Source organism: Homo sapiens, chromosome 6 (assembly GCF_000001405.40).
Source record: "Homo sapiens chromosome 6, GRCh38.p14 Primary Assembly".
In the NCBI taxonomy this organism is placed as follows: Eukaryota; Metazoa; Chordata; class Mammalia; order Primates; family Hominidae; genus Homo; species Homo sapiens.
Window position 1 is genome coordinate 170067033 of NC_000006.12, and position 11728 is coordinate 170078760.

At 46.1% G+C, this 11728-nt stretch overlaps 3 annotated features.

Moving 5' to 3' along the window:
• Nucleotides 6451-7002: an enhancer, noted in NCBI's record as "H3K4me1 hESC enhancer chr6:170388707-170389258 (GRCh37/hg19 assembly coordinates)". NCBI's record gives its function as "activates a minimal SCP1, AML or CMV promoter by ChIP-STARR-seq in naive H9 embryonic stem cells {active_cell/tissue: H9 hESC(naive)}" and the evidence as "EXISTENCE:reporter gene assay evidence [ECO:0000049][PMID:30033119]".
• Nucleotides 7003-7554: an enhancer, noted in NCBI's record as "H3K4me1 hESC enhancer chr6:170389259-170389810 (GRCh37/hg19 assembly coordinates)". NCBI's record gives its function as "activates a minimal SCP1, AML or CMV promoter by ChIP-STARR-seq in naive H9 embryonic stem cells {active_cell/tissue: H9 hESC(naive)}" and the evidence as "EXISTENCE:reporter gene assay evidence [ECO:0000049][PMID:30033119]".
• Nucleotides 9439-9938: an enhancer, noted in NCBI's record as "H3K4me1 hESC enhancer chr6:170391695-170392194 (GRCh37/hg19 assembly coordinates)". NCBI's record gives its function as "activates a minimal SCP1, AML or CMV promoter by ChIP-STARR-seq in primed H9 embryonic stem cells {active_cell/tissue: H9 hESC(primed)}" and the evidence as "EXISTENCE:reporter gene assay evidence [ECO:0000049][PMID:30033119]".

Genomic DNA, 11728 nt, shown 5'->3' on the forward strand with positions numbered 1-11728 from the left:
CTGGTCTTCCTGTGAGCTCAGTCACCAGGTGTCTATGTGCCCTTTGACGAGTGACTTAACCCCCCACGAAAGGATGAGGCTGACAAGCTGCACCCTCACATGTGCCCTGTGCCTGTTTGTTTGGGACATTGTACGACGAGGCTCATCTGATCTTAAACCCCCTGCTTTGCATGCAAACGAGATTTTCTCAGTGCTCTGGTGCAGCCCCTCCATGTGTGCACGGCTTGGCTATTCTGAGGGAGCTGCCTTTCCTGCCGGCCGCGTGACCTACGCCTGCAGCTGGGAGAGCTGAGACTGCGTTGCGGTGCTTGGGTACTCTGCCAGCAGAGGGTGGGCCGCAGGCTGGTGGGAGGCTCAGACAAAACTCCAGCTGCACCCTGCACTTACACGGGCGGCTTTGAGCCTCCTTCAGGACAGCCCTGGGATGGCTTCATGAATGCTGGTACCACAGCCTGCGCTGGGAAGGTCCACCTCCTGAAGCCGGCTCACGTGGTCTGTGCACTCCGGAATGTCCAGAAGCTCATCTCAGCTGGAGGCATCCCTCATGCCGATGTGATTTGTGTCTGGGTGGAGGACGGTGTGGAAGTGGAGAAGTCTTGTTTCTGACGTTGTTTTCCTCAACAGCGTAGCAGAAGCTTGTCAGTGGAGAGACACCAGAGGCTGGTGGTGCTCAGCTCACACATTTTTCTATGGGCCCAAAGCTCTTCGCCAGCACAGAAGCATTTATTCTTCCCAGAGGAAAAATTTCATGCTTCACCACCTAACCCCACTGCAAATAAAGAGAAGCATTGTCAAAGCTGGGGCCTAGGAACAGTGCTGGGAATATGATTTGGGAGCACAGAGAGCAACAGCCTTGCAGCACTTGGCATGAGCCACACCTCCTGCGTGGCCAGCAACCTCTCCCTGGCCACTGTGGCAAAGGCCACCCTGCGGCCACGGCTTCAGACGCTGCTTCTGAGTGACCACACTATGTGGCTCTGCCTTTGTTCTGCTGGTCTGTCTCTGCAGATGGGACAGGGGCTCCCTAGTGAGCCTGAGACCTCATCGAGAGGCCAACCTGCTTGAATCGTGTCCTCTCCTGTCTTGTCTGCCCACTGGCTACAAAAATCCCATGTCGCATGTGTGGGCTGCTGGGGGTTCCCCTCAGCATCAGACATCCTAAGAGTGGCCGCTTGAGCCTGGCCCTGCCCTGGACATTCAGGTCAGACGAGGCCGGGAGGGCACTGCAAAGGCCCAGTGGCCTCGAGGAAGGTCAGGAGCACCCCTGCTCCACCGGGAGGGCACTGCAAAGGCCCAGTGGCCTCGAGGAAGGTCAGGAGCACCCCTGCTCCACCTGGAGCCTCAGTGCCAGATTGGGCAGCATCCCCACAAAGTCCACATCCTTCTCAAACCTCTGAATGGGATCTTACTTGGAAACAAGCCATTGCAGGTGCCACTGGTTAAGATGAGGTCTTCCTGGAATAGGCAGGCCCTTCGTCCAGTAAGATGGTGTCCTTCTAAGAGGAGGAGGAGACACAGGCGTTCAGGGAGACAGAGGCTGAGAGCAAGTGAGAGGCCACAGCCAGGAACCATGGAGGATCGCCAGCCACACCAGAACAGGGAGACGCACAGAGCCCAACCCTGCTGGCACCTTGGTCTTGGACCTCTGGCTCCAGGATGGCAGGAGAGCACACTTGCGCGGTGTGAGCCCCTGGTTTGTGGTCCCTCCTTACCACAGCCTTGGGATGTTCATACTGGAGACACCTGAGAACTGCTTCCAATTTCACAGCCTCTTTTCGCCCATGGAGGAGCCCCCAGCTGTGGCCATGGTTCTGCCTCATGTGGGGCTACTTGTCTGGGAGATTTCCCTCTGCAGAGTGGCCCATGGTGGACACCAGAGAGAGATGAGGCTCCTAATGAGACCTGTGGCAAATCTGAATACTGTTTTCTGCAGTTTTGCAGGGTTTTGTTGGGTGTTTAGCAGCTTAGGGCTGCAGCAGGGTGGCGTGGAGTGAGGCGTCTGCGGAGTCTGGTCACCCTGGTCTCAGTCCTTCATCTTTAAGATTCAATCTGGGTCTACTGCGTGCTTGCTGTGTGACTTTCCACAACTGGCTCAAACTCCCTGAGCCTCAATTTTATGATATTCACTTTAAAAAGCAGCTTTATTGAGCTGATTTTTATTAAGTAACATACAATAAACCACACATATTTAGAGTATAAAATTCAATGAGTTTTAATATATATACATACCTATGAATCTATCACCACAATCAGGAATTTGAACAAATCAATTACCCACAACTTTTCCCCTTTAATATCTCCTCCCCGCTCTTTTTCCCACACACTCCATCCCCAGGCAACCACTAATCTACTTTCTGTGGCTGTGTATTAGTTCACAGTCCATGGAATTTCATATAACTGGGTCATACAGTGGGTGCTCTGTTTTTATTTGGCTACAATTCATCAATGTTGTCACGTGCATCAGTCACTGATTCTTTTTTTTACTGAGTTGTATTCCATTGTGTGGATATACCACTGTTTATCAATTCACCTATTGATGAACATGTGAGTTGTCTCAAGCTTTTAGCTGTTACCAAGGAAGCTGCTATAATCACTCATGTATAGATCTTTTGTAGACATAGACTTCAACCTCTCTTGGGTAACTTCTTGGGAGCGGAATGGCTGGATCATATAGTAGGTTGATGTTTAACTTTTTGAGGCACTGACACAATGTTTTCCAAAGTGTGTCATTTCACTTTCTCACTAGTGGCACATGAGAGTTCCAGTTCCTCCACATCCCAGCCAGCACTTGATGTGGTCAGTCCCTAATTTTAGCTATTCTAACAGGCCTGTAGTGGTTTCTCACTGTGGTTCCAATTTGCATTTGCATAACGACTAATGATTCCTGAGCAACTTTTTGTGTGCTTGATATTTGTTTCTCTTCTTTAGACAGAGTCTGTTCAAATATTTTGCTTGCTTTCGTTGGGTTTCTTCTTTTCTCATCACTGAGTTTTAAGAGTTGCATATTCCACATATATTCTGTATATAAAACTTTTATAAAATGTGTGATTTGAAGATGTTTTCTCTCAAACTGTAGCTTACCTTCTCATTTTCTTAATGGCATATTTCACAGAGCAGAAATTCTTAATTTGATGAACTCCAATTTGTCATATTTTTTAATTTATGAATTACGCTTTTGGTGTTGTACCCAAGAAATCTTTGCTTAATCAAGGTCACAAAAAGAGACAGTCTCCACTGTCTGATAGGAAGGTGTTCATGTATTCCTGGATTATCCTTTTCATATGTGTAGAATCTGTAACAATGTTATCTTTGTCTTTCCTGGCATTTTGTCTTCTTTTTTTGGTCCCTGGTTAGTCTGACTAGAGGTTAACAAGGTTTACTAATCTTTCAAATAACTAGTTCTCTTGTGGTTTCTTGTAAAAGTTTTGCAGTTTTAGGTTTTACACTTAGGTCTCTGATCCATTTTGAGTTCATGTATGTACATAGTGCAAGGTATTGGATTGATGTACATTTTTTGGATACTCAATTTTTTTCAGAACCATTTGCTGTCCTTTCTCTATTCAAATGCCTTTGCAGCTTTGTCAAAACTCTCACCACTCCTATTCAACATAGTGTTGGAAGATCTGGCCAGGGCAATCAGGCAGGAGAAGGGAATAAAGGGCATTCAATTAGGAAAAGAGGAAGTCAAATTGTCCCTGTTTGCAGATGACATGATTGTATATCTAGAAAACCCCATCATCTCAGCCCAAAATCTCCTTAAGCTGATAAGCAACTTCAGCAAAGTCTCAGGATACAAAATCAATGTGCAAAAATCACAAGCATTCTTATACACCAATAACAGACAAACAGAGAGCCAAATCATGAGTGAACTCCCATTCACAATTGCTTCAAAGAGAATAAAATACTTAGGAATCCAACTTACAAAGGATGTAAAGGACCTCTTCAAGGAGGACTACAAACCACTGCTCAATGAAATAAAAGAGGATACAAAGAAATGGAAGAACATTCCATGCTCATGGGTAGGAAGAATCAATATCATGAAAATGGCCATACTGCCCAAGGTAATTTATAGATTCAGTGCCATCCCCATCAAGCTACAAATGACTTTCTTCACAGAATTGGAAAAAACTACTTTAAAATTCATATGGAACCAAAAAAGAGCCTACATTGCCAAGACAATCCTAAGCCAAAAGAACAAGGCTGGAGGCATCACGCTACCTGACTTCAAACTATACTACAAGGCTACAGTAACCAAAACAGCATGGTACTGGTACCAAAACAGAGATATAGACCAATGGAACAGTACAGAGCCCTCAGAAATAATGCCGCATATCTACAACCATCTGATCTTTGACGAACCTGAGAAAAAGAAGAAATGGGGAAAGGATCCCCTATTTAATAAGTGGTGCTGGGAAAACTGGCTAGCCATATGTAGAAAGCTGAAACTGGATCCCTTCCTTACACCTTATACAAAAATCAATTCACGAGGGATTAAAGACTTACATGTCAGACCTAAAACCATAAAAACCCTAGAAGAAAACCTAGGCAATACCGTTCAGGACATAGGCATGGGCAAGGACTTCATGTCAAAATCAATTGACCTTAAGTGTATGCGTTTATTTCTGAACTCTTAATTATATTCTAATGACTTATTTGTCGGTCACTCTCTCTTGATTACTGTAACTTAATGGTAGGTCTTAAAATGGGTCGAGTCCTCTAACTTTTTTCTTCTTTTTCAAAGTTGTTTTGATTATTCTAGGTCCTTTGCATTTCCATGTGAATTCTAGAACTCAATTGTCAATTTCTACAAAAAAAAAAAAGTCTACTTGGATTTGGTTGAATCTATAAGTCAGTTTGAAAGAATTCTGTCTTCTAACTCATGGACACAATGTATTTCTCCATTTCTTTAGGCGATCTTTAATTTCTCTCTGTGATGTTTTGTAAGTTTCAGTCTTTCTCATCGTTTCTCAGAGTGATTAAGTAGTTTGCATTTTTATGCTAAATTTTTATGTAAATGGTATTTATGCTACATTTTTATATAAGTGGTATTGTGCCTTTAATTTAAATTTCTAACCATTTGTTGCAACTATAGAAATACAACTGATATTTAGATATTGTTCCTTTATCCTGCAAAGTTGACAAACTCATTCAGTGATTCTAGTGGCTCTTTGTAGATTCCATCATGTTCTCTACATAGACAATAACGTCTCTTGTGAATAAAAACAGTTTTACCTTCTCCTTCTTCCCAATTTGGATGGCTTTTCTTTCTTTCCTATTTTTTTTTCCTTCTTGCATTGGCCAGAGCCTCCCATGTGATCACGAGTAGAAGTAGGAGAGCATCCCATGTGATCACGAGTAGGAGTAGGAAAGCATCCCACATGATCACGAGTACAAGTTGGAAAGCATCCCACGTGATCACGAGTAGAAGTAAGAAAGCATCCCACGCGATCACGAGTAGAAGTAGGAGAGCATCCCATGCAATCATGAGTAGAAGTAGGAGAGCATCCCATGCGATCACGAGTAGAAGTAGGAGAGCCTCCCATGTGATCACGAGTAGAAGTAGGAAAGCCTCCCATGTGATCACAAATAGAAGTAGGAGAGCATCCCATGTGATCAAGAGAAGTAGGAAAGCAGAGACCCTTGCTTTATTCCAGTCTTCGGGGGAAGACATCCAATCTTTCACCATTAATTATGTCAGTTGTTGGTTTTTCACAGATACCCTTCATCAATTTGCTGAATATTTTAATTAAATAGATGTTGGATTTTATCATGTGCTTTGTCTACATCCATTGAGATGATCATGTGGTTATTTTTTCTTAATTTTTTAATATGGTAAATTATACTGATTACTCTTGACTAAATTACCTTTGCATTGCTGAGATAAACCTCACTTAATGGTGTATTATCACTTTTACAAACTGTTGGATGTGATTTTATAAAATTTTGTTTAAAATTTTCATCTGTGTTTGTGAAGTTTTATTTTCTTTCAATGTCCTTGTCTAGTTTTTATGTCATAGTCATGCTGCCCTCATAGAATGAGGTGGAAAGTATTTCTTCCTCTTCAATTTTCCAGAAGACTTTGTATAAAGTTTGTATTATTTCTCTTTGGATATTTGGAAGAATTCACCAGTGAAGCCCTTTGGCCTGGAATTTTATCTGTGGGAGGTTTTTAATTAAAATTTTAATTCCCTTAATAGATATAGGGCTATTCATGTTACCTACGATTTTACTTCCTTAATACGTTTTTCTTTTTTTCTTTCTTTTAGCATGTAAGTTTTGGTACTTTGTGTCTTTCAAAGAATTTGTCCATTTCAACTAAGTTGTTTAACTTATTGGCATGATTGATGGACACGTTTCTCCCAGGCCATAGATTTTGCTTTGAAATCTGCAGCCTCCCCTGTCTGATAGGAAGGTGTTCATGTATTCCTGGATTACCCTTTTCATATGTGTGGGATCTGTAACAATGTTACCTTTGTCTTTCCTGGCATTTTGTCTTCTTTTTTGGTCCCTGGTTAGTCTGACTAGAGGTTAACAAGGTTTACAAATCTTTCAAATAACTAGTTTTTGGTTTTGTTGGTTTTCTCCTTTTGTGTCTTCCGTTTTATGGATTTCTACTCTTGGTTTTATCATTTCCTTTACTCTGCATATTGTGAATTTAATTTTCTCTTCTTCTAGTTCCTTGCCTACCTCAATTCTCTGTCTAATTCTGGGTCCTTGGCCATTCCCACCTCAGTTAACAGAAAATGCCAAGACATACCACTTGCTGGTGTCCAAACCCAAGATGAGCCCAGAATTTTTCTTCGCCTCACATTCCACACAGAATCCCTGAGCAGTCTTGCAAGCTCTGGCTTCAGGAGTGGTCCCAGCCCCGCCACGCCTGTGCCATGCTGCCAGGCCAGCAGCCTTCCCACGTGCCTTCCCGCCTACCCTGCGCTCCACCTGCAGCACAACCATGCAAACACAAATCAGAGAACACTCACTCTTGGAGCCCAGAGCCACCCGTCAGAAGCGCAGCCTCCTTGGCCTCACGGGGAGCCACCCACAGTCAACGGCCCACGAAGCCTGCATGTGAGTCACTGCAGGGTGCAGGCAGCCCCGGGCCCTCCATGACAGGGATGTTCCCAGATGCAGCTGAGCAGGGGCAAACCACCCCCCGCCATTCCACATCCAGACTTCTGACTCAGAACCCATAGTGGCTGTTTTTTGAAAAACGAAGCAAAGCTGTAAATTGGGTCACATTATACTCTGCTTAAAACCCTATACTAACAGTCTGGCAGTTCCTCAAAAGCTAAATGTAGAATAACTATATGACCCAGAAATTCAACTTGCAAATATAGAACCACGAGAAATGAGAATGTAGACCACACAAAACCTTGCATGCAGATGCCTGTGGCAGTGTCGCCTATCATAGCCATAAGGTGCCAACAACCCAAATGCCCATCAACTCAGGAACAGAGAAACAAAACCTGGTCCATCCAGACAATAGAGTATTATTTGGTAATAAACAGAAATGAGTGCTGGTGGACCGAGGAGGAGGCAAAGCAGGGGCACAGAGCGCCCAGGGACGTGTGGCCACTGTCGGGACTGTTTGGTGCCACAGGATGGCTGGGCTGGGGCTTGGCCTGCAGGATGGGCTGGAAATGCTCTTAATTCCTCGGAAGCTAAGAGACACCTGAGAAGGAGGGACAGCCTGGGCCTGGGAGCCGGGTGGACATAGGAAAAGGCTTTTAGTTTTTCAAAAACTGAGCAATAAAAGACTTGGACTTGTTTTTTAAAAATTTGTAGAAGAGATAAGAACAAAAAATCTAGAAACTGGAAAAAATTTCAAGTTGATGAGGCCTTGACTCAATAATGACCTTGTATCTATGATTTGCTTTCTCATTCACTCATTCACTCATTCAGTGAATATTCAAGAAACCCACACTGAGAAACTGCTGTGTGCAGCCTCCGTGTCACACACACGTGTGCCCCTCCTGCATCGCTACCTCGGAACACGTGTGTTCAGGCATGGATGCATCTGTGTGGGTGTTCGTGCACTGCAGCCGCACCAGCTCCCGAATGTTGCCTGTCAGACCGGCAGTGTGTGCCCGGTTCCGATTCCAAGAGCATCTTCTCCAGAACTCTGGCGGCCGGGCCAGGGAGGAGCGTGGACTGTCCCATGGAAACGCGGCCCGGGAGGGCTTAACTGAGGACAGCTGACATAAGAAGCTATTGACAAAACACCACACACTGGGGGTGTAAACAACACACATTTATTTTTTTACAGTCCTGGAGGCTGGAGGTCCAAGATCCAAGTTCCTGCAGACTTCGTGCCTGGTGGGCTCTGGGCCTGGCATGCAGGCAACGGCCTCCTGGCTGTGTCCGAAAACAGTGGAGAAAAAGAAGGGGAGAGGGAAGGAGGGGAGAGAGGGGCAAGAAAGAAAGAGGAAGAGAGAGAGAGAAGGGGAGAGAGGGAGGGTGAGGAACAGAGAAAGGGAGGAAAGGAGGGAGGGAGGGAGGGAGGGAGAGAGAGAGAGAGAGAAGAGCCGGCAGGGAGGGAGAAAGAAAAGAGCCCCAGTCCTATTGTGGTAGCCCCACCCTCATGACCTCGTGTAACCTAATCACTCCCAAAGGCCTAGCTCCAAATCCAGCCACATTGGGGGTTAGGACCTCAATGTGTGAACTTCAGGGTCAGGGACACAATTCAACCCACAGCAGTGTGGAAAGAGTTCAGGAGAAGTGAGGGATGAGGCTGTCCCAGGATAGCCCGGAGGAGCCCGGAGGGATGTAGGAAAGGGAGGGCTGGAGGAAAAGGGGCCCCCGCACCATGGCCCCCAGCCTCCAGGTGCCCTCATTGCCACATGCTGCAGGAGGTCAGAGGGCGAGGGAGCCGGGGAGACACCGTGCACAGGGCCAGTGTCCCAGGCTCTGCGCGTGTGGTTGGGAAGAGGCCACAGAGTGCTGGGGAGGCCGTGGTGACCTCACAGAATCGGCCTCTCCTTCCACTGGGCTCAGAGATTCCCACGAGCTCCGTGCTGCCTGGAGAGAGAACGCAAGACGGGAGGGAGGGAGGGACTGATGGGTGGCCACAGGGGGAGGCTGAGAAGGAGGCAAATGGAGCTGAGAAGAGACAGGACGAGAGTGAACGCGCCCACCCGGCTGCCAGGCTCTCCCCTCCACTCAGGAGGCTCCGTGGCTGCCAGGCCTGCCAGATCTGGGCACAAACACAAAACAGGAATCCTCTCAGCTCAGCCTCAAAGTGTTTTGTTGCATTTTTTCTGGCTGGGGCTTGAGGGTGAAAGGTTGCTTGTTTGTTTGCTTGTTTGTTTTAGCTGCTAGCTCAATTTGCTGGTCTCACATTCATGATGCCCTTTGAGAAAATACATTGGGACGCTTTTACAACTTGAGAAACCTCCTGGGTTTTGAAGCCTCCCACATCTCTGCCCGCCCTCCAGCCAGGCCAGGCCAGGGCGACGGAGAAGGGATGGAGGGAGGCGCGTGTGGATATCACCCCAAGCCATCCATCTAAAAAGTCTCTTCCTGACATGGCTGCAAGGGTGGCCCGGCCTGTCAGCTCCTACCCTGCCCTGGGCTCCCTGCTGGGACCCGTGGCTGCTGCACACCTCTGCTCAATCTCCACGTCACCCGGCAGAGTCTGTGCTGTCACCCTGTGTTAGGGACAAGGACGTGGAGAGTCACAGGCTTGCCTGGAGGTGACAGTGATGCCAGGGCCAGCCCAGGTGAGGAATACTCGAAGGCTCACCATGCTTCATATGGGAAGCCAGGTAGAAAGAACAGGATGAGAGGAACTGCCCGGCCACCTGCAGCTGCTGCTATCTCCCTCTGCCCTCCTCTCTTCTTCCCCACAGGGCTCTGCAGAGTGTGGGACACGGACAGTTGCTCAACCCACAGCAGGGTAAGCGCAGGGCTGAGCATTGGCAGTGATCTGCCGTGGCTGTGGCTTCCGGCACGTGGCCAGAGATGTGCTCACAAACCGCATGGGAGCCACGTCGGGGGTGCGCTGAGCACCAGGCTCAAAGGGAGGACCCTGCACAAGGGCCCCAGAAGAGGGGTCTGTCAACCATAATCCAAAAATGCATAAAATCTGGAAACCATTTCATTCATCGTTGGCTAATTTCAATTCAATTGCAACTTGAATGTAAATTATTGGAACTGGCTACTAATGAAGAATTGAAGACGAATTTTGAAAATAGAGCATCTGTTGCTTCAGTTTAAATAAAAGTTACATGTGAATATACTGAGCCTGCTGAAAATGTCTTTAAAATCTCTCCTTCCATTCCTATCAACAAACTTTATGAGACTAGTTTTTCTACTGAGACTATTATTAAAACAAAGCAGAACACTATTTTCGATATACATTTTCCCTGCCAGAATCAGTAAAACTGAAACTAGATAGGGAAGCAAAGCATAAGCTCATTGTCCATTAGAGATAGTAAATATTAACACGACATGGTATAATTTTGCACAAAAAGGCATTTAAGCGTAAATTGCTATTTCACTCCTATTTTGTTCAGTTATGGCTGTGGAACGGGAAAACGTTTTTACTGTGTGCATTAGGTGGCTTAAACAACAAAACCTGATTTTTCACAGTTCTGGAGGCTGGACGTGCAAGATGAAGGTGCCGGCCAGTTTGGTTTTCTGGCCCTCTTCTCGGCGTCCAGACGGCCGCCTTCTCGCTGTGTCCTCTGGTGGTGAAGGGAGGGCACTCTGAACAATTGTTCTTCTTCTATTTTTGTTTTCTGAGACAGAGTCTCGCTCTGTCACCCAGGCGGAGTGCATCGGCGTGATCTCGGCTCACTGCAACCTCCGCCCCCTATGTTCAAGCAATTCTCCTGCCTCAGCCTCCCAAGTAGCTGGGACTACAGGCGCCCGCCACCACACCTGGCTAAATTTTTGTATTTTTAGTAGAGATGAGGTTTCACTGTGTTAGCCAGGATGTTCTTGATCTCCTGACCTCCTGATCTGCCTGCCTCAGCCACCCAAAGTGCTGGGATTAAGACGTGAACCACCACGCCTGGCTGTTGTTGTTCTTCTTCTTATAAGGGCACTAATCCCATCATGGGGACCCCACCTTCACAACCTCATCTAAACCTCATCACCCCCTAAAGGCCCCAGCTCCTAATACCCTTACTTTGGGGATGAGAGCTTCAGTATACGAAATTGGAGGGAATGCAGCTCCGTTCATGGCAGTCTAACAATTCTCTGTAACATAAATGTGCACTCTTTCAACAAACAATATGCAAAGTTGATGTAATTTGTTTCTATTTTCCTGTTTTATTTTTGTTCTGATCATGCCATTTGAAACATACTTTATGTCTATTGAGTGTAATAATACAATTTTGATCTTATATTTTTTGTCTATTTTTTCATTTCTCTAGTAACTCATTTTTGTCATATTTTAAAAACTACCAATGCAAAGAAGTTTGAAACGTACAATGGTCCTTCATCACCAATGGTTCTTCATTATCAATAATCCTTCATTAACAATGTTCAATGAAGGTCCTTCATCACCATGTCCTTCATCACCAAGGTCCTTCATCACCATGTCCTTCATCACCATGTCCTTCATCACCGAGGTCCTTCATCACCGAGGTCCTTCATCACCGTGTCCTTCATCACCGAGGTCCTTCATCACCGTGTCCTTCATCATCGAGGTCCTTCATCACCATGTCCTTCATCACCAAGGTCCTTCATCACCATGTCCTTCATCACCATGTCCTTCATCACC